Source organism: Homo sapiens, chromosome 3 (genome assembly GCF_000001405.40).
Source record: "Homo sapiens chromosome 3, GRCh38.p14 Primary Assembly".
Lineage (NCBI taxonomy): Eukaryota > Metazoa > Chordata > Mammalia > Primates > Hominidae > Homo > Homo sapiens.
The window spans coordinates 15,680,282-15,703,074 of record NC_000003.12 but is presented as its reverse complement, the minus strand read 5'-3'; the positions used below and the strand labels follow the sequence as shown (position 1 = coordinate 15,703,074).

The 22,793-nt window shown below is 37.4% G+C and overlaps 2 protein-coding genes and 1 non-coding gene across 39 annotated transcripts in view; 2 read left to right on the top strand and 1 right to left on the bottom strand.

Annotated features, from left to right (window-relative positions):
* The window catches only part of BTD (biotinidase), a 121,156-nt gene that overhangs the window by 19,442 nt on the left and 78,921 nt on the right, over positions 1-22,793 (bottom strand). The window contains exon 4 of one of the 4 annotated variants that reach the window (NM_001407400.1): positions 13,187-14,764. The exons of the other annotated variants lie outside the window; for them this stretch is intronic. Within the exon in view, the coding sequence (NP_001394329.1) occupies positions 14,729-14,764 (36 nt within the window). The 3' untranslated portion in view covers positions 13,187-14,728. Of the gene's footprint in view, positions 1-13,186; positions 14,765-22,793 lie in introns of those variants that run through there. 4 annotated transcript variants of the gene reach the window in all.
* The window catches only part of ANKRD28 (ankyrin repeat domain 28), a 192,579-nt gene that overhangs the window by 156,740 nt on the left and 13,046 nt on the right, over positions 1-22,793 (top strand). For all 34 annotated transcript variants that reach the window (XR_007095653.1, NR_146111.1, NR_146112.2 and 31 more), the window contains 7 exons: positions 6,830-6,941; positions 7,861-7,887; positions 8,262-8,336; positions 12,855-13,056; positions 16,766-16,853; positions 16,956-17,073; positions 17,630-17,849. Coding sequence is in view for 30 of the 34 variants with exons in the window: in XM_047447807.1 (XP_047303763.1) it covers positions 6,830-6,941; positions 7,861-7,887; positions 8,262-8,336; positions 12,855-13,056; positions 16,766-16,853; positions 16,956-17,073; positions 17,630-17,849 (842 nt within the window). In the remaining 4 variants the exon portion in view is untranslated. The remainder of the gene's footprint in view (positions 1-6,829; positions 6,942-7,860; positions 7,888-8,261; positions 8,337-12,854; positions 13,057-16,765; positions 16,854-16,955; positions 17,074-17,629; positions 17,850-22,793) is intronic.
* Positions 5,704-5,777, top strand: MIR3134 (microRNA 3134). The gene has a single exon (NR_036085.1). It is a non-coding gene; the product is annotated as a microRNA 3134 (primary transcript).

Here is a 22,793-nt window from a genome sequence, read left to right as displayed (position 1 = left end):
ATATATGTAAGAGCAGTGTTTGATACTAGCTCTGCCTTTTACTATGGGGACCTTCAGCAAATTACTTAACCTCTCTGTGCCTATTTAATCTGTGAAATGGAGATACTAGTCTAAACTCTGTCACGACTATGTAGAGTTTAAAATGGTTTAGTATATATGAATTGTTTGGAACAGTTCTGACGTATCCTAATCTTCCTATAAAGGTTAGTTGTATTTTTTAAAACTGATTTTTTGGGCCAGGGGTGGGGTGGTGGGGGGTGGTAAGAACTGTTGTATGCCATGATGGGAAGAGTAGAGAGGAGGGAGGGCCTCTTGGAGTGACAATACCACATCTGTTTTCCTGGCTGAGTGGTCCTTACCCAGGGCTCTGACTAGCCATGGGACACATGAATTTGAATCAGTCTGAACTTGCCTCAGAACTCAAAATAGTAGGGTTCATGAGTGGTAGGGTAAGAGTAGGAGAAATTTAAATAGTTTGAAATGCATTCCGATTTTAACCTATGTGGTTAGTGGGGATGAAGATATTTAATTTGCCTAACATTGAGGAAAAAATTGTAACAGAATATTGTTTAGCCTTAAATATTTTTTCAGATTTTGTGTATATATTTTATTTCAGAGGACAGATTATGGAGAATCTTCATTTCTTAATTGTCTGCGTTTCATAAAATGAACATGTGTTAATGTGCAAACAGAAAAAAGAGTATACAGACTCTTCTGCCCCCACCCTCTAATGAAGTTCACATTTTCAAGATCAAGCAATTTTGTGATTCAGTATTTTATAAGCACCCTAGTTAACTTACCACTGTAAGTGATTAACCACTGTTCTAAAGCTTTGTGGGAACATAGAACAATGGATAAAGGGAAGACCTGAGGTGGTTTAGTCCTTGGTTTGCCATATTCTAGCCAAAAGGATTTGGGAAAAGTCATTTAACTTAGTGTCAGTAATCTTTTTCATTTGTTAGAGATAATGCTTACCCAGAGTAATTATGAAAATTTATATTGTTTAGCAAAATCTGAAAGGTATGCCAATAAAAGAAATTGTATTAGAATAAGTTTTGTATTCAGGTCTCAGTAAGGAAGACCCATTTCTGTTTTATCACTAACATCTAGAGAACTTGATTAAAGATTTTTTTTAAATGCCCTTGGGTAAAATGTTTTTGCCTGTAAAGTATTCCTACAGACTTGCAGGCTTTTTCTGCATCCCAGTGAGCACTGTCCTCTGAATTCGGCACCAAGGAAGGCTGTGTACAGAGTTTACACACTGACTGAAACACTTCCTTTTCCTGACATGTCCTCAGAATTAGTTTGTGAAACAAAACAAAACACCAGTCTTATTACCTTAGAGCCAGACGTGGGTTTTATTTTATTTCTTTATCATAGTGATACCCACTTTAACCTTTTTATTTTATTTATTTATTTATTTATTTTTTGAGACGGAGTTTTGATCTTCTTGCCCAGGCTGGAGTGCAATGGTGCAATCTCAGCTTACTGCAACCTCCGCCTCCTGGGTTCAAGTGATTCTCCTGCCTCAGCCTCCCGAGGAGCTGGGATTACAGGTGTGTGCCACCATGCCTGGCTAATTTTGTATTTTTAGTAGAGATGGGGTTTCTCCATGTTGGTCAGGCAGGTCTTGAACTCCCGACCTCAGGTGTTCCGCCCACCTCCGCTTCCCAAAGTGCTGGGATTACAGGCATGAGCCACTGCACCCAGCTTAATCTTCTTTTTTTTATTATGCTTGACTCCAAAGAATTTTAGCTGTACATAAATATCAAAATTGCACTTAAATGGATGAATATTTGCTGCCATTGAAGATATTACAATGAAGATTCTGAAAGTAATTTCTAAGAGGTCTAAAGCATTTTAAGAAATTCAGCATTTAAAGAAATAAGTGTTAGCATTGAAATAATGGCTCTCATATATTTGTGAGCTAGAGTTACTGAAAGATCAGTTACATTGCTTTAGAATTTCTTTTCATTTGTTTTTATATGACTTCAGTGTGATTTTGGAAACTTTTAATAAGGAGTATTTGATTAAAGAATTTTTTCCCCAGGTAGTTTAATATTTGGGTAGACGTATTTGAATACCAAACAAATTATCACTGAATAATTATAGACTTGGAATTTGAACATGAATACACTTTAGATTATTTAGCTGGCTTCTCCATGTATCAAATGAATAAACAGAGGCTATTTCACTTTTATGGCCCAAGATCACTGGTACCAGTGCTATTTCAGTGCTTTTTTTTTCTGCTGTAATAAAATGTATTAAAATTGTAAATTATGGCCTATATACTGTTGTGTTTCTTTTGCAGTCTCACTCTGTCGCCAGGCTGGAGTGCAGTGGCGCGATCTCTGCTCACTGCAACCTCCGCCTCCTGAGTTCAAGCAATTCTCCTGCCTCAGCCTCCCGAGTAGCTGGGACTACAGGCGCCCGCCACCACACCCAGCTAATTTTTGTACTCTTGGTAGAGACAAGATTTCACCATGTTGGCCAGGATGGTCTTGATCTCTTGGCCTCATGATCTGCCCGCCTCAGCCTCTCAAAGTGCTGGGATTACAGGCATGAGCCACCGCGCCCGGCCCTATATAGTGTTTTTTAATTAATTTTTTTTTTTTTGTCATTATACTTTTAAGTTCTAGGGTACATGTGCACAACGTGCAGGTTTGTTAGATAGGTATACATGTGCCATGTTGGTTTGCTGCACCCATCAACTCATCATTTACATTATTTACATTAGGTATTTATCCTAATGCTATCCCTCCCCCAGGCCCCCACCCCGGACAGGCCCCGGTGTATGATGTTCCCCTCCCTGTGTCCACATGTTCTCATTGCTCAACTTCCACTTAAGAGTGAGAGTTGTGTGTGTAATGTTCCCCTCCATGTGTTCTCCTTGTTCAGCTCCCACGTATGAGTGAGAACATGCAGTGTTTGGTTTTCTGATCTTGTGATAGTTTGCTGAGAATGATGGTTTCCAGCTTCATCTGTGTCCCTGCAAAGGACATGAACTCATCCTTTTTTATGGTGGCATAGTATTCCATGGTGTATATGTGCCACATTTTCTTAATCCAGTCTATCATTGATGGACATTTGGGTTGGTTCCAAGTCTTTGCTATTGCAAATAGTGCCGCAGTAAACATACGTGTGCATGTGTCTTTATAGCAGCATGATTTATAATCCTTTGGGTATATACCCAGTAATGGGATGGCTGGGTCAAATGGTATTTCTAGTTCTAGATCCTTGAGGAATCACCACACTGTCTTCCACAATGGTTGAACTAATTTACACTCCCACTGACAGTGTAAAAGCATGCCTATTTCTCCACATCCTCTCCAGCATCTGTTGTTTCCTGACTTTTTAATGATGGCCATTCTAACTGGCGTGAGATAGTGTCTCATTGTGGTTTTTATTTGCATTTCTCTGATGACCAGTGATGATGAGCATTTTTTTGTATGTCTATTGGCTGCATAAATGTCATCTTTTGAGAAGTGTCTGTTCATATCCTTTGCCCACTTTTTCATGGGGTTGTTTTTTTCTTGTGAATTTAAGTTCTTTGTAGATTCTGGATATTAGCCCTTTGTCAGATGGGTAGATTGCAAAAATTTTCTCCCATTCTGTAGATTGCCTGTTCACTCTGATGATAGTTTCTTTTGCTGTGCAGAAGCTCTTTAGTTTAATTAGATCCCATTTGTCTATTTTGGCTTCTGTTGCTATTGCTTTTGGTGTTTTAGTCATGAAGTCTTTGCCCATGCCTATGCCCTGAATGGTATGCCCTAGGTTTTCTAATAGGGTTTTTTATGGTTTTAGGTCTAATATTTAAGTATTTAATCCATCTTGAGTTAATTTTTGTATATAGTGTAAGGAAGGGATCCAGTTTCAGCTTTCTACATATGGCTAGCCAGTTTTCCCAGCACCATTTATTAAATAAGAAATCCTTTCCCCATTGCTAGTTTTTGTCAGGTTTGTCAAAAATCAGATGGTTGTAGATGTGTGGTGTTATTTCTGAGGCCTCTGTTCTGTTCCATTGTTCTATATACCTCTTTTGCTACCAGTACCATGCTGTTTTGGTTACTGTAGCCTTGTAGTGTAGTTTGAAGTCAGGTAGCATGATGCTTCCAGCTTTGTTCTTTTGGCTTAGGATTGTCTTGGCAATGCGGGCTCTTTTTTGGTTCCATATGAACTTTAAAGTAGTTTTTTCCAATTCTGTGAAGAAAGTCATTGGTAGCTTGATGGGGATGGCATTCAATCTATAAAGTACCTCGGGTAGTATGGCCATTTTCACAATATTGATTCTTCCTGTCCATGAGCATGGAATGTTCTTCCATTTGTTTATGTCCTCTTTTATTTCATTGAGCAGTGGTTTGTAGTTCTGCCTGAAGAGGTCCTTCACATCCCCTGTAAGTTGGATTCCTAGGTATTTTACTCTCTTTGTAGCAGTTGTGAATGGGAGTTCACTCATGATTTGGCTCTCTGTTTGTCTGTTATTGGTGTATGGGAATCTTTGTGATTTTCGCACATTGATTTTGTATCCTGAGACTTTGCTGAAGTTGCTTATCAGCTTAAGGAGATTTTGAGCTGAGACGATGGGGTTTTCTAAATATACATTCATGTCATCTGCAAACAGAGACAATTTGACTTCCTCTTTTCCTAATTGAATACCCTTTATTTCTTTCTCTTGCCTGATTGCCCTAGCCAGAACTTCCAACACTATGTTGAATAGGAGTGGTGAGAGAGGGCATCCCTGTCTTGTGCCAGTTTTCAAAGGGAATGCTTCCAGTTTTTGCCCATTCAGTATGATATTGGCTGTGGGTTTGTCATAACTAGCCCTTACTATTTTGAGATACATTCCATCAATACCTAGTTTATTGAGAGTTTTTAGCATGAAGTGCTGTTGAATTTTGTCGAAGGCCTTTTCTGCATCTATTGAGATAATCAGACAGACCGCTAGCAAGACTAATGAAGAAGAAAAGAGAAGATTCAAATAGACACATAAAGGGAATATCACCACCGAGCTCAAAGAAATACAAACTACAATCAGAGAATACTATAAACACCTCTACGCAAATAAACTAGAAAATCTAGAAGAAAGGGATAAATTCTTGGACATATACACCCTCCCAAGACTAAACCAGGAAGAAGTTGAATCTCTGAATAGACAAATAACAGGTTCTGAAATTGAGGCAATAATTAATAGCCTACCAAACAAATAAAAGTCCAGGACCAGATGGATTCACAGCCGAATTCTACCAGAGGTACAAAGAGGAGCTGGTACCATTCCTTCTGAAACTATTCCAAACAATAGAAAAAGAGGGAATCCTCCCTAACTCATTTTATGAGGCCAGCATCATCCTGATACCAAAGCCTTGAGAATTTTAGGCCAATATCCCTGATGAACATCAATGCGAAAATCCTCAATAAAATACTGGCAAACTGAATCCAGCAGCATATCAAAAAGCTTACCCACCACAATCAACTCGGCTTCATCCCTGGGATGCAAGGCTGGTTCAACGTACGCAAATCAATACACGTAATCCATCACATAAACAGAACCAATGGCAAAAAAAAAACAAACACATGATTAAATTTATTTTTATTGTATTTTATTTCAATAGTTCCTGGGGAACAGGTGGTTTTTGGTTACATAGATAAGTTCTTTATTGATGATTTCTGAGATTTTGGTGCACTGGTCCCCTGAGCAATGTACACTGTATCCAATGTGTAGTCTTTTATCCCTCACATGGAGTAAAATATGATGGATAAAAGACTACATATTGGGTACAATTTGGGAACTTCCCCCTGAGTCCCCAAAGTCCATTCTATCATTTTTGTGCCTTCGCGTCTCCTCATAGCTCCCACTTATGAGCGAGAACATACGATATTCGTTTTCCATCCCTGAATTGCTTCACTTAGAATAATGATCTCCAACTCCAGGTTGCTGCAAATGCTATTATTTTGTTCCTTTCTATGTCTGAATAGTATTCCATGGTGTATATATACCACATTTTCTTTACGCACTCGTTCGTTGATAGATAGCCTAAATAGACTTGTTTCATATTTTTGCAATTGCGAATTGTACTGCTATAAACATGCATGTGCAAGTGCCTTTTTCAAATAATGACTTCTTTTCCCCTGGGTAGATACTCAGTAATGGGATTGCTGGATCAAATGGTAGTGTTACTTTTTGTTCCTTAAGGAATCTCCATACAGTTTTCCATAGTGGTTTTACATATAGTGTTTTTTAAAATTATTTTCCTCATATTTTATTATCACAGAAATGAAATGAAGTATCTCTTATGGATACCTTCTTACCACTTTACTCTGTTTATATACCTCTTCTTAGTCCTCTAATTCAGATTCATTGAGTTCTGACCTTGGTTTCTTGAGGTTTTGTTTTGTTTAACATCCTTTCTTGAGCTTCATGATGAAAAATTTACTCATTCTGTGTTCTAGATAGATAAATAGTAATATTGCCAATATTATGTACTCACCACCACGAAAAGTTTAATCCTATCCAACATTGTTTAGTAGAATAGGTGGTGGTATAGATAGAGACTGTGTAAAAGATAGCCTTCACATATGAAAAAAAAAGCTGTCTGACAGACTTTTGAGGTATCCACTTTGAATCAAGAAGATTCTCATGAATGTTTCATTTGCATTTTTATGATACTTTAGTCAGTGTCATTTAAATGACATTTTTATAGTGTAATACATTTATGATTTTTATATTACTCAAGTATAAGAAAAATTGTCAGTTTTTAATTTCAGTCTCTTTTTATCATTGGTTAATATGCAGGATTTAGGATTTTCAGTATGTTGTTGTTGTTGTATATAGGTGCCTGGAATACTTATTAAGAAACGATGCAAATCCAGGGATCCGTGATAAGCAAGGATACAACGCAGTTCATTATTCAGCTGCTTATGGTCACCGTCTATGTCTTCAGCTGGTAAGATTCCTGAATTCTTGTGAAAGACCTAATGGGAGTTTATAGTCTAATAATGTAACAAAAATGAGAATAAATGGATCAAGGAACAAATTCCATTTTGTTTTTTAACATTTTCAGAATTTATATACCTCTTAAATTCACACTTGCTTTAGTAAGATATATCTCATTCTCTTTTCCTTTTAAAAAAGGAGAAAATTAGATCTCTGAAGAGGGCTACTGATTACCCCATGTTCATGTCTACACTATTTACTTCTCCTGCCCCTTTAAATTAATATTCCTCATAAGTTTCTAAAAAACTATAACTGTGTCTTTTGTGAGAAATAAAAGTCCCTGTGAAAGGAATATCTCCCCCATATATTTAGGGAATTCCAAAAGGCACATTTATTTCACAACCCCTCCTAACAAGGGAGACTCCACTTCTGCAGAGGACGTTTTTATTTCTGCTGTGGTCTGATTCTGGAATAGAATACCACCATTCACCCAAATTTACCAAACCAGAAGGAAAGTCAAGGAAAAGATATTCATGTGTGTAACAGATACTTTAGGTTAAAGATGCTCTTATTTAGACTTACCTTATAAATTACATTAAACTTTGCTTCCCTTCAAGGGGAAATAAAATTCAACGAGCGTAGATATAAAACAAGAAAAGGGAGGTTGACAATTTAATATAGCACTTAGAGCCCTGCTACAAAAATAACTATTTTCCTACGTTATGGATATTCACACCAAAATTTTAGACCTATGTATATAGATTTGACGTCTGTTGTGATATAAAATTGTTTATTCAAAACACCTAATTTTTTGGAGCCAAAGGAAGCACGGGTTTAGGGTAAAAGTTAGCAAAGCTCTATATAAGTTGAGACTTAATATAGATGAATACTTCCCAAGCTAAATATTTTTGTTTTGACTTTTATTTCAGATTGCAAGTGAAACTCCTCTAGATGTTGTAAGTATTAGTCAATTCCCTCCCACCAATTAGTATTGGTCAGTTCCCTCCTACCAGTTATGTTTATCTGTTTGCTCTCATTAGAGCTGAAAGTGTTTTTACATATTAGGCACAAAGACGGTGACAGAAATCATGTGTACAGAGGAAAGGAAGATGTTTACTTGGTGGCAATTAAGTAGCATTTCCCCCAAACTCTTATGCCTGTCTTCAAAGCTCTTAGTCTGTGGTCCTTAGTATACTTTCATAATAATCATGTTTTATAAGTTTGCTGAGTTGCCAAATAATACTCTAAGGTGGATTTGAACTGGGTGGGTGGGAGAGAATAATTGCTGTAGTATGTCTTTCTGACATTTAAAATGCCTCTTCTTTTTCAGTTAATGGAAACCTCAGGAACAGACATGCTGAGTGATTCAGATAATAGAGCAACAATAAGCCCTTTACACTTGGCTGTGAGTACTGCCTTCATAGCCGACTTGATGGCTGCTGGTTTACTGAAAATATCTAATAACCTATTTGTGTTGACTCAAACTAGTACCATAAACTTTTGGTCCATGTAATAGTTATCATGGAATTAAAACTTTGAGAACTTTCTTTAATTCAGAGAATTACTTAATGTGCTGGGTTTTTGTTTTTGTTTTTTCTGTTTCTTGCTTTAGAAAAAAAAAAAAAAGACAGACAGTGATCCTTAGGCTTCCCCCAGGGCCTTCTGGGGAGAGAAAGGGAGAAAATATGGAGAATATGCCTGTGATGGTGAATTTTAAAATGTGCTGCCCTAGTGGAATGCCTTATAAGTTGGCTAAGCAGATGGTATACACACACATTCTGTGGTATTTCTACAATTTTTTGCTTACTTTGTGATCTTGGGGTGCTAACTTGTTGTGTGTTCACTGGTCCTTTAGTTGCTCACACTATAGGATTTGGCTACATTGTCTGTTATGTCCCTTCCACTTTAAGATTCCTCTAAATTTTTTTTCAGTGTCAATCACTAAATGGAGAAGGTTAGGGAAGAATGTGACAATTTTTTAAGTCAAATGAGAATTTATTACCTTAAATTTCAAGTAGATCCTAATCTAGCTTCCTGTACAGAAAGAATTTATTTTTGAGACAAAGCATGTTAGAGTTGTAGGGAAGGGGGTACTTTGAGAATCAGGAGACCAGGGTACTCTCACCAGGTGTTTGTGAGATCCATGATTTTTAGTAAAATGCTTATAAGGATGTATCCTTAATTTAATGTGGAACACTACAAGTTCAGTTATTCATTTGATTGTTTCTTTTCATATGTACTATTATTTTTTATCTTAATATTCTCCTTGCGGGTGTTTTAACACTGACATATATACATTAAATTTTCTGCCATTTCTCCCTACTGATACTTCCTATCATGTTCTAAATAACTAAGAAAGCATTCTTGAAGCTTTCTACTTCTTTGCCCTTTGAGTCCTTGGAAACACCATCACCTCTCCCAGACATGCATAGTAAATAAGTCTGAAAAGGCAAAGCCAGCATGGAAGAAATAGCCATTTTACTATTGATGAAAAGAAATGAAGACTGAGCAGCATTAGCAGCAGCAGCAGCAGCAGCATTCTCATTATAATAATTTCACTGTCATTTCTTGAGCACTTTCTAGGTGCCAGACTATTTCCGCCTTGTGGAGATTCAACTAGTAGCATATTAAAGACTCCCAAAAGCCCTGCAGTCTTTAGGACTTAGTTATCAGTTTAATGATGTTGTTTCCTTAGAAATTCTCATTTGTATTCTACCCCACCCTTCAATTTGGCAAGTTTCTCTTTTTGTGCTTGCAAGTTAACAGTGTGCTATACATTGATTAGTGGGTCGGTCTCTCTCTCTCTCTCTCTCTCTGCCCCCCCATTACTATTTTTTTGTCAGAGATTTTGTATGTGTATATGGTGGTAATGGTAGAAAAAAGAAAACATAGCATAAAACGTACCTTCTTAACCATTTCTAATTGTACAGTTCAGCAGTGTTAAGTATATTTACATTACTGTACAACCAATCTCCAGAATCTTTTTATCTTGTAAAGGTTAAAACTAAAACTCTGTACCCATTAAACATCTCCCTGTTTCTCCTTTCCCCAGTCCCTGGTAATACTAGCCTACCTTCTGTTCCTATGAATTTGACTAATCTAGACACCTCATTTAAGTGGAATCATAACAGTATTTTTTTGTGTTGTGTGACTGGCTTATTTCATCTAGCAGGTTTCATCCATGTTGTAGCATGTGGCTGAATTTCCTTATTTTTAAGCTGAATAATTATTGTTATGTATATAGCACATTTTTCTTTATCCATTCATCTGACAATAGATGCTGGGTTGCTTTCTTCTCTTGGCTATTATGAATAAGTGCTGCTATGCCATAGGTATACTAAATAGTGTTTTTAAACTAAAAATTGAAATAATTTAGTGATTAGGCTTAATGAAATATGATTATACCACCACTTTTGCATTTCATATCTATCTCTAGGAGGTTTTCAGAAGTTACTTTAATTTCTTACACGAAACTCTCCCATTCGGGACAACTTGGTACAGTGAAAACATACTGATCTGAGGCTTAAGGAGACTGGCCTTGATTCCTAATTTTAGTCATACTGGACATTTGGACTTCTTCTCTCAGTCCCATACAAGGATATCATGGGGGGAAAAGCCCTGTGGCAAATCATCATGGCTCCCATTTATTTCTCTTGTCTTTTCATTTTTATTTTTTATTTATTTTTGCTGTTGTTTTTCATTGTCTCACTCTGTCATCCAGGCTGGAGTGTAGTGGCACAATCACGGCTCACTACAGTCTTGAATTCCTGAGCTCCAGTGAGCCTCCCTCCCTCAGCCTTCTGAGTAGCTAGGACTATAGGTGCACACCACCATTCCCGACTAATTCTTTATTTTTTTGTAGAGACAAGGTCTCACTGTTGCCCAGGCTAGTCTCAAACTCCTGGCCTCAAGTAATCCTCCTGTGTTGGCCTGCCAAAGTGCTGAGATATAGGTGTGAGTGACCATGCCCAACCTCATTTTTTTTTTTTTTTTTTTTTTATTTAGAGATACAATCTCATTCTGTCACCCAGGCTGGGTTGCAGTGGTGCATTCCCAGCTCACTGCAGCCTGTACCTCCTAGACTCAAGTGATACTTCCGCCTCAGCCTCCTGCATAGCTGGGACCACAGGCATGTGCCACCAGGTCCAGCTTATTTATTTGTTTGTTTATTTATTTTTGGCAGAGATGAGATCTCACTGTGTTGCTCAGGCTGGCCCCAAACTCCTGTTCAAATGATCCTTCCACCTCAGCCTCCCCAAAGTGCTGGGATTATAGGTGTGAGCCACCACAACTGGCTAAACTCTTCTTTTTATATTGTCTTTTATATTTAATGTATGATTCCTCAGAGTTCATTCTTTCAGTAGCATAATTTTCATTGACCTAGTATTGAGGAACAAAGTTAGATGTAATCCTAAAACAGTAGAATTCCGTGACCTACAGTCACTTTAATCTTTGAGATAGTCAAGCTTAAGTAGTCAAGTTTCTACACAGATTCATTATAAAGAGATCAGTGAGGCCCAGAGCAAGTTTATCTCTTGCTGCTACTTTCTGACATTTTCTACAAGAAATGGCATTATAGTCCTTTGAAGTTTATTTATTTCTTTATGTCCTGCTCAGCATTTAGTCCAGTGTAAATAATATATGTTCAGTTGCCATGTTGGATTTTGAAAAGACTTTTCTGGAAAGCCCTTTTATTAGACTGTATGAAGAAGGCAACTCGGGGCCGGGCGCAGTGGCTCACGCCTGTAATCCCAGCACTTTGGGAGGCCGAGGCGGGCGGATCACAAGGTCAAGAGATCGAGACCATCCTGGCCAACATGGTGAAACCCCGTTTCTACTAAAAATACAAAAATTAGCTGGGGCATGGTGGCATGCGCCTGTAATCCCAGCTACTCGGGAGACTGAGACAGGAGAATCGCTTGAACCCAGGGAGGCGGAGGTTGCAGTGAGCTGAGATTGTGCCACTGCACTCCAGCCTGGTGACAGAGTGAGACTCCGTCTCAAAAAAAAAAAAAAAAGACAACTTCAGTCTGACAAATCTTCAGTCTTACTTTTGTACAGCTAGGACAATGCCTGGTATGTGGTGATATTCAAGCAGGGCTCGGTTATGCATTTCTTTGCTAAAAGAATTACTTCTTTTTTAGCTATGGCACATTATGGGGTGGGTATGGTCAGTTTAATTTGAGAAATCCGAATATTCAAGCACTGACTCAAGTTGCTAGCTGTCTTTGCAGTTGATGTGGAGCACTGAACTGTGATTAAGAACACAGGCTTGGCTGGGCACAGTGGCTCATGCCTGTATTCCTAGCACTTTGAGAGACCAAGGTAGGAGGATGACTTGAGGCCAGGAATTTTGAGACCAGCCCGGATAGCATAGCGAGACCCTCATCACTACAAAAATTAAAAGAAAAATTAGCTGGGCATGGTGACGTGTACCTCTGGTCCCTGCTACTCAGGAGGCTGAGGTGGGAGGATCACTTAAGCCCAGAAGGTCAAGGCTGCAGTGAGCTATGATCACGCCACTGGACTCCAGCTGGGGCAACAGAGCAAGACCCTGTCTCAAAACAAAACAAAAAAAACACAGGCTTTTTAGAATCAGACTTGAAATCAAGACTTTAAATGAATCCGTGTCACACATCCATTGAATGTCTGCCGTGAGCCAAGCATTGTATACTCATGAAAAGATGACCTGTCATTTGAACTTGTATTATTTTTAGAATGCCTGTTCCCTAACACAGTAGCCTACTATGTTGATTATTAGAAAGATCTGTAGTTAACTTCCTGAATTCTCGATGTAGAAGTTTGGATTATCTCAAGTAGGATAATAATATGAAGACAAGTTTGCTTATTTACATTTATTCAAGTATTTAGGAAGTCAGTCTAAATATGTATGTTTTAAATTTACATTTTTATTTATTTCTAGGCCTATCATGGTCACCATCAAGCACTGGAAGTGTTGGTACAGTCTTTGTTAGATCTTGATGTCAGAAATAGTAGTGGAAGAACACCCCTAGATCTTGCAGCTTTTAAGGGCCATGTTGAATGTGTGGATGTACTCATTAATCAGGGAGCCTCAATCTTAGTAAAAGATTACATTTTGAAGAGGACACCTATTCATGCAGCAGGTATGCCAGATATTATGCTTGATTTATTTATAACTTCTATCCAATACTTTTTTTCAATTTCTGATATATAATATTTCCAGTTAATTGTCTTTAAAATTTTGACCTTTTTTTTTTTCAAATCATATATGGATTATTTGACCTCACCAAATAACTTTATTCACACAAATGAATTTACAAAGCCTCCGTCATTCATAAACATTAGGAGTATCCCAGTGTTCAGGGAACTTAAATACAGTGTATTATATCAACCCAAGTAAACCAAGCACAAAAAATATTCATATAAAGTTGTTTACATGTAGGTCCTAGACTACCAGCTTCTGTGTGAAAAAGGAAATAAAAATAGATTTATTAACTAGTGTTTGAAACTAACTTTGTGCCTGGCTTAAAACCTCCCTCATGCTCCAGCCTGTCCCACACAAGTGTTTAAGAAGTCATTAAAACTGTCCTGCTCTCATGAAAAGAAGCTCCTCTGCACAAAAGATGTAAGTGCCCCCAAGTAGCTCCCTTCCTCCTGTGGCCTCTCTTGGAAAACAACCTTGGCAGCCTCCTTGCTGATACCTTCTGCAATTTTAGGGGCCCCTCAGGGGGCAGTGGCAGTGGATTCATCTTTTGATGATGGCTGCAGATGCTAACATTGGCCAATTCTATGTCACACCTACTGGTTACTCTTTGAAGGCATTTCTCCAGACAGAAGCCCCACTACCGTCAAAGCTTAGGTAGGGCAGGATCAGAGAGGCGCCTGTGTTGTTTTGAAGGTTGTGCTACAGCCTGGACTTATCTCTGGACTTCTCCCTCTAAAACCCAGTGGCCCAAAGAGCTGAAAAATGTCAGCTTGGCTCTTCAAAAGTTTCCAGACCCAAGGAGATTACCAAGAGCTACAACTGTCTGGGGAAATTTTTGACTTTAAGTGGTAAAATGATTGTATTCTCAGGGAATACCAACAACAAGACTATCATCACTTAAAACATTATCTGCCTTAGAAGTTGGGTTTATGTAATAATCTAACTTCTGAAACACTTTATCAACAAAACAATGCAGTATTTATTTCTTTCTGGTAGAAGTTATTTTGGATTGGTATAATCTTTCATTTAACAAGTGATACACGTTTTGACTTATTTTACCAGTGTACTGCATTAAACATTTATGCAGACAGGCTTTACAGAGCACTTTATGCAAGAACTATTCCATATTGTGATATTATGATGTAGCAGATACGTTAAAATACGAAGGTCTATAACCAAGTCAGTTAAATGACTTGCTACCCACTGCGTATCACTGGCAGATGCAGATTCACAACTCTCTATTTTTATAGAGTGATCCTTAAGAATACATTTGAATATATGTCTTGGATTTTTTTTCTAGTCCTTTGGGAAGCTTACATTTTAGAAGACTATTGATAACACCCACTGTTACTCCCAGAGCCGCCCTTCAAAGCTATCAGATGTTCAAGTGGGGCTGAGAAAAATATTTTAATAATACATTAGAACCTCTAATAAACATATATACACTACTATATGGTTTGAACAAGAGGTTAAAATGCATTACTTGCTGTTACCTTATTCTGAAAAAGAGTGAAGTTATATATCACTTTGCAAAGCCAAACTTGGTGGCGCATGCCTGTATTCCCACCTAACTTGGGAGGCTGAGGCAAGAGGGTCACTTGAGTTCAGTTTCATTGCACTCTAGGCAACATGATGAAACCCTGTTCCTAAAATATAAAATAAAAATCAATTTTGTACACTGGATGGGATCTGTGAAAAATAAGTACATTTTAAAAATATTAATCTATAGCTAGAAAAATTATAATTGCAGATCATATGCAGAACTAATTTAAAGCTTGCATGGAGTGGTTGCACTCTCAATAGGTAAATATTGAACTGAGACATTAGCCAGTCCCTTAGAAGTAGTTAACCAATGCCATATAGTTCAGCATAAATCCTACCCACAAAAAGAACCACAGGTTACTCTTAGTGCCTATCTATTCAATAAATGCAAGCCTTGTATCTATAGATGCCTTTCAAATTTGGAGGTCTATAGAGAGCATCTATAAGCCATGAAAAGAACACTGAGGGTTTTTTTTCCTGGAGGTTTACCAGTCATTTCCCACAGAGATGCTGTGCTTGCTGTTTGGGTATTGAACTTAGATGACACAAACATTCATCAGTAGCGACTGTGAACTGAGTGTAAATGAACTGATTTGAAAAATGATGGGCCAAACAAGTTCTTCTTGAACATCCCCAAGTGTTACGACCCTGTTTTTTGTTGCTAAGCTGTGAGAGCTGCTGGCAGAGTGCAGCATACAGATTGGACTAGGGTAGGAGAGGTGATTTAAGCCACAAGTTTAATAACTATTAGTATTTAATATAACTGTGGGAACATACTGTGGAATATTCAGCACCTAGCTTGCTTTTGCTAGTTTTGTCATCTTTTAATTAGAAGAAATAGTGATAGACGTTCTTTTCTGTATCATATGCAAGATACATTTTTTTCTAATGTATTTCTTTAAACTTCAGACTTTGTATATATTAACAGGACCTGAATTTTGCAGAGGATTTAACTTACTTCAAAAGCTCTTTTCTTTGGACTACTTCTACTTGTACCCTTGCCCATTTTATGCATTTGGACTTAACACATGCATTCTTTAGATGGATCATTTTTCTTGTACTGTATGTATATATATATATATCATTTGAAATTATTTCAGCCATAAATAACAGAGTACCCTACTGAAAATAGCTTAAGGGGTTTAGTGTCTCATATACAATGTCGAAAGGCAGGCTGGGCACGGTGGCTCATGCCTGTAATCCCAGCACTTTGGGAGGCCGAGGTGGGTGGATCATGAGGTCAGGAGTTCAAGACCAGCCATGCCTAGATGGTGAAACCTCATCTCTCCTAAAAATACAAAAAAAATCGCCGGGTGTGGTGGCAGGCGCCTGTAATCCCAGCTACTTGGGAGGCTGAGGCAGAGAATTGCTTGAACCCAGGAGGCGGAAGTTGCAGTGAGCCAAGATCACACCACTACACTCCAGCCTGGGCGACAGAGCGAGATTCTGTCTCAAAAAAAAAAAAAAAGCAATATCAGGCAGATGCAGTTCCAGGGTTGGTTGATTCTACAACGGTGTCAGAGCTCTGGATTAAATTCTGTTATTCTCTTACATTTGCATTCATGTTGTGGGATTATTGCTGCTGCTTTTAAGGATTGCATCTAAAATCAGGAAGGAATGGGGGCTTTTCATTATTAAAGATAAAAGTATTTCCCAGCAGCCTCTAGACTTATCGGCATCTCAGTAGTCAGACCTGGTTCCTGTGCTGCTCACCTTAAAACTGATCACTGTCAGAGGAGAATGGGGTTCTTGTGATTGACTTGGTCTAATCATGGTATCATCCCTTTGCTGGAGTCAAGGCACTCTTCCTGACCACATTGCCAGAGAGCTAAATAAAATGAGCATTCTTTTAGAGGCAGATGATAGGGCATGGGTGCTGGGTAGGCGGTCTGCCTGTCATGTTTTACTGTGAGGAATTCACATTTATTCCAGCTTTAACAGTCAAAGGCCGTAGAAACCTTCTTTTTACCTATAGTTTTCATTCTTGCATATTAAATTCAGTGCAACTATCCCAAAAGTAAATTCTAGAAGATGTGCTTTTAGATGGACATTTTCTATTTTATCATTATATGTAATTACTGAAATGTTTAAATTTCACTTTACAGCAACAAATGGTCATTCAGAATGCTTACGGCTATTAATAGGAAATGCAGAACCACAGAATGCAGTGGATATTCAAGATGGAAATGGACAGTAAGTTTCGATAAATAATTGTTGCATCACAGAAGGGCGTATTTCGAAAACCAGAGTACAGTCTTAAGTGACAGCACTGAACCTATTCCTGTTGTTGCTCAGGACGCCTCTGATGCTATCTGTTCTCAACGGGCACACAGACTGTGTTTACTCATTGCTGAACAAAGGAGCAAATGTAGATGCCAAAGATAAGTGGGGAAGGACAGCGTTGCATAGAGGGGTAAGCAGAAATATGCTCTTTCCTTTCAAAAAGCTTTTATGACCTCATATTACCTAGAACTGAACTAGGTTATGTTTATTTTTTCTTCATTAAATGTTCGTCAAATAGTCTTTACCATTTCTTTCAGTATCTTAGTTTTTAAATGCTAATTTTGAACAATTACAGAGTACAACTTAATCTAGAGAACAATGTTAGAACAAAATTTTAAAACTCTAAAACTTTTAGTAGAATTAATGTCAATTTGACTTTTTCCATTATCTCACTTATTTTCTTATACACTTTAATCTTTTTTCACCTTTGAAATATCATTATTTTCATTGAATACCAAGTTTCTCTCTTCCTGTTTTCATACTATTTGCATTTTAGAAGGGTTCTTGCTTTAACTGAATTTTTAAACCACTTCCAATAAAAATACAGAATTACTCATAAAATGATAAATGGCTTTAATTGATGGAAGGATATGGAGAGTATGGTCTTTAAAGTTTTTAATTAGCTGAAATTGGCATGTAATGTTTAGCATAATATGTTTGACTACCTTTAAATTATTTTCTTTCAGGCAGTTACAGGCCATGAAGAATGTGTAGATGCATTACTTCAACATGGTGCTAAGTGCTTACTTCGGGATAGCAGGGGCCGGACGCCTATACACCTGTCTGCTGCCTGTGGACACATTGGTGTTCTTGGAGCCCTTTTGCAGTCAGCAGCATCTATGGATGCAAATCCAGCCACAGCAGACAATCATGGATATACGGCACTTCACTGGGCTTGCTACAATGGTTAAGTATACAAACACAAATGCATATCATTGTGTAGTGAACAGAGATAAAAGAATGACATATTTATAAGGCAAATTTTAAGTTTAAAATTAGCAAAAACCTTGGGAATAATCTACTGTATAGGCTCACGTACTAATAATACTTAGTACGTAGGCTCACTCCTGTCCTTTGTCATGCTAAAGCCAAGACACTAGTTGTCAAAGGTGTTCTGAGATAAGCCATGAAGTATTTTTGAGGTTTTTCTTTTCTTTTCTTTTCTTTTTTAGTTTTGGTAGGATCTTGCTATGTTGCCCAGGCTGGTCTTGAACTCCTGGCATCAAGTGATCCTCCCACCTCAGCCTCCCAAAGTGTTGGGATTACAGGCATGAGCCACCATGTAGCCTGAAGTTTTTCTTAGATCCTTATTTCCACAAATATTTTGCATTTTTAGGAGGTTTTTAGAATGTTTCCATTGCTTTTATATAGTGTGCTTGTATTTTGATTGTGTTCTTTTACTATTTTTTTTTTTTTAAGAGTCCCACTATGTTGCCCAGGCTGGTCTTGAACAACTGGGCTTAAGCAATCCTCCCACATCAGACTCCCCAAGTGCTAGGATTACAGGCATGAGCCATTGCACCCAGCCATGTTCTTTTACTTTCTAAATACAATCATATTAGGGGAAAAATAACCAAAAGTAGGAGAAACAGTGAGATGTATCACATTCTAAACTGAAATCTATGTATGTTTTCTGAGCACATTGCAAGATAACATTCTTATATTACCAGTAATATCCATGTTCAATGTTTTAAAGGAATAAATCCCTAGCAGGTCTTAGAATTAGAAACTTTGATGGGTTAACTCTGCTACATGGTTAAAAGAGATTTTCTTTGGCCTCCTACAGGCTCACAGTCACAGTCATCGCTTTTATAGGTAGACTCATAAAAGGTCACGTAGGGAAGCATAAAGCTACTTTGAAGTTATAGATGTTAAAAATGCAGTTTGGCTTATGAAATGCCACTAATTAAAATAATTTATGCAATGAAGCATGTTGAGATATTTTTAGATTTGATCATCTTAGAAAACTCAAGTACATTATATACAGTGCAAGCATCAGTGTTGTCAAAGTTCAAGCTTCAGGCTTTAGTAGAGAAATTAGAGGTTTTTAAAATTTGTTTTCAATTTCAGTGTAGCTTCAAGATTAATGTTAATTATGACAGCAGATCTACAAAGCTGTAGTTCACAATTCTAATAACCTTCCCTCAAAATGCAGAGAAAATATAAGTTGTCTCTTTATATAAATACCCATTTGCTAAAAATAAATAAGTATAATATCTGTTGTAAAATCAGACTGCCTTACCAGGAAGTTGAGATTTCCTATCTTTCTATAATATGCTGTTTCATAGTTCTTTCACTGGGAGCTGTTCTGACAAAGTTATCAAGTTAAAGCAAAAGAGGAAAAAGCTGAATCTTGTAAAATTATAACTTCATTAAATGTTTCCACAAGTATTTCTGAGATACAATATTTTGATTTTCATATTAGTCCTTATGCCAAAGTTGGGAGTTGTATTCTTTTGCCGTTAGAACATTTTGGGTTCTTGAGGTTTGTCCTGTTATACTGTTGGTTATCCTTCAGCTGAGTACTGATAGCACCATAAAAACTTGAATAGTTAAATCTGTTGCTCATTGAACAAGCTAGTTTAGTCTCTTTGTTTTTTACTACCTTAAATCCTTAACCAAAACAGTTTTGAAAACTATAAAACCTTTGGGGTTTAACTTCTCTTTTTCCCATTTCTACTCGCTAAGGCAAGTAGAAATGAGTGTAGTGAAGTGGCCAGAGACTAGTACTCATACTAGAACAAAGAAGATACTGTATTTTGCCATTGATGTTTGATTTGTTTCTGTAATGTGACTTGACATTTTACAAGTATAAGGAAAACCCAAAATATCTAATATAGTGGGAAAATATCTACAATTGTGAGTTGTGTTTCTGTAAAAAAGTCAGTGAGATAAAACTGTTCAGAAGCAAAGACTTACTGCTTGGTTTTTAAAAAAATATATCCCTGAAGATTAACCATTGGAAAAATCACACAGTGAGATATTTTTCCTCAGGAAGAGCATTTAGTTGTAAATGTACTGCTGTAACTGTCCTTTGGAGAGTTGCTTTCTATTACAGTGTTTGTTATCAGATCTATATGTAGAACATTTTCCCTAAAGTGAGTTCCTACTCTATCACTGCTAAATTTAGACTCTAAGCACGTTTTGTGCAAGAGACAGAATTTTGCAAGAACTGCATGCCTGGTTGCCATTTAAAGATCATAACAAATGTGTCTGATTTTCAGCCTGTAGCAAAATTGTGGTGATGCTGAATTTGAGCTGGAAGGAATTTAATGTGTGTTGGCTATATGCAATAAGCGACTATATAGACAGCCTAAAATTAATACCATATTTATAGCCAAAAGCCCGTTTTATAATTTGGCATTCTGAAAGTAGAATATGTAAAATGGTTTTTACTTTAACTAGTAATTATTGTACAGCTGGAAAGAAAAGTGGAAGCATGCCAACAGAACAGAAAACAACCTCTTAAAATTAAAATGAAATGATGGCCAAGTTTTAGAAAAACACTGGCTGTAGATACTAAAAGTTCACAATTTCAGTTTATATAGTCATTCAATCACAGAACTTAAGAATACTTATTATTCCTTTAAAAAATGTGTTCATTTTTATGAAGCTCTAAACATCCTCAGACTAGCCTCTGAAACTCAGGAGGACCCAGTTTACCATCCTATCTATCTTTCATAAATGATGATAGAAAGTTATGAGATTGTCTGCTTGATATCACCCAGTAATGATTTCTGGAGGTCACAAAGGGGCCCCACTGTTCCCTTTTCTCAGTCTGTACTCAGATGGTGAGTGGTTCTCAAACCCTTTGGTCTCAGGAACTATGGATTGATACTGACTGTATTAGAAATTGTAATTGAGAAATTTTTAAATACTTACTGATTTATTTAAAAATAATGTCTATTACATGTTAACATAAATAATCTTTTTTTATGAAAACTATTTTCCAAAAGTATTTTCTTTTTAGTGAGAAGAGTAGTACATCTCTTCATAGCTAATTTAAGAGAATAGTTGGGTTCTCATCTGTGTTTTTATTCATATTTTTTTTGCGTCACCCCAGGGTTCCCTAGGCCACACCTTAAGAACCCATATACCTGGAGAATGAGGGGCTCTTAAGTCAACAATGGACAACTTTCCATTGCTGTATCTTAGTAATGAGTTAACATTCAGAACGATGGCATTAAAGGAGTTTCTCAACCTCAGCACTATGACGTTTTGGGCCAGATGATTGTTGCAAGGGACTCTCCAGTGCATTGCAAGATGTTTAGCAGCATCATTGGTTTCTACCCACTAGATGCCAGTTGCACTGCCCCACCTTCAGTTGTGATAAACAAAAATGTCTGTAGGCATTGCCACATACAATATCTGCTGATGGGCAAAATCCACTTGAAAACTACTAGATTAGAGAAAAGAACTGACAAAAGATGGAACACAATTACAGGTTTTTCTAAAAATTACTTTTCCACAATTATAGGGTAAAGTTTAAGCTGATTAAGTTTGAGTAATTTAAAAAGAAAAGAAAATATAACATCACTTTGGTAGGCAAATATTAAACCATGAAAATGTATAAAGAGGCCATGTAAGAATCTTATTCCTAAAGTAGATCCCAAATGACTAATGAAATAAAATAAGCAACATTTTATTTGTAGTAATTAGGGTATTAAATTAAAACCCTGGCTCTGGAATTAGGGTAAGAAAATTTGAAATTTGGATTTTTCTGTTTTTGAAGTTACTGTTAAAAACTATGGACCAGATATTGATGAACAGTCAATACAGTCAGCCCTCCATATCCATGGGTCCCCCATCGGTGAATTCAACTGAATGTCCATCAGAAATATAGTTAGGCTGAACATGTACAGACTTTTTTTTTGTCATTATTCCCTAAACAATACAACAACTATTTATATAGCATTTACATTGAATTAAGTTGTAAGTAATCTAGAGATGACTTAAAGTATATGAGAAGATGTGCATAGGTTATACACAAATAAACCATTTTGTACAAGGGACCTGTATAAGGGACTATGGAGTTTTGCTGTCAGTGGGGAGTCCTGGACCCAATCCCCCAAGAATACCAAGGCTGGATACTTCTCCTTTACCACAGCAATATCACTTTGGTAGGAAATTGTCCTACAAAAATACTTCCTAAAATAAAAACAAAATGTTGGCCGTGGTGGCTTATGCCTGTAATCCCAGCATTTTAGGAGGCTGAGGCAGGCAGATCACTTGAGCTCTGGGATTCAAGACCAGCCTGAGCAACATGGCAAAACTTCATCTCTACAAAATATCAAAAAATTAGCCAGGTGTGGTAGCCTTGCACCTGTTGTCTTAGCAACTCAGGAGGCTGAGGTGGGAGGATCACTTGAGCCCAGGAGGTTGAGACTGCAGAGAGTCATGATCATGCCACTGCACTTCAACTTGGGCAACAGAGCAAGACCCTGTCTCAAAAAATTGTTTTAATAAAATAAAAAAATACCAGAATGTTTCATTACAGCGTTGTTGATAATATCATGAAGAATTTTTTTAAACTAGCAATCACTTTAAAATCCATAATTAGATTAAATAATTTATGATATACTTTGATACTGTGAAGCTCTTCAGAACATTAAAGAATAAGATTTTAGCCGGGCATGGTGGCTCACACCTGTAATCCCAGCACTTTGGGAGACTGAGGCAGGTGGATCACCTGAGATCAGGAGTTTGAGATCAGCCTGACCAACATGGTGAAACCCCGTGTCTACTAAAAATACGAAAAAAGCTAGCTGGGCATGGTGGTGGGCGCCTGTAGTCCAGCTACTTGGGAGGCTGAGACAGGAGAATCACTTGAACCCAGGAGGCAGAGGTTGC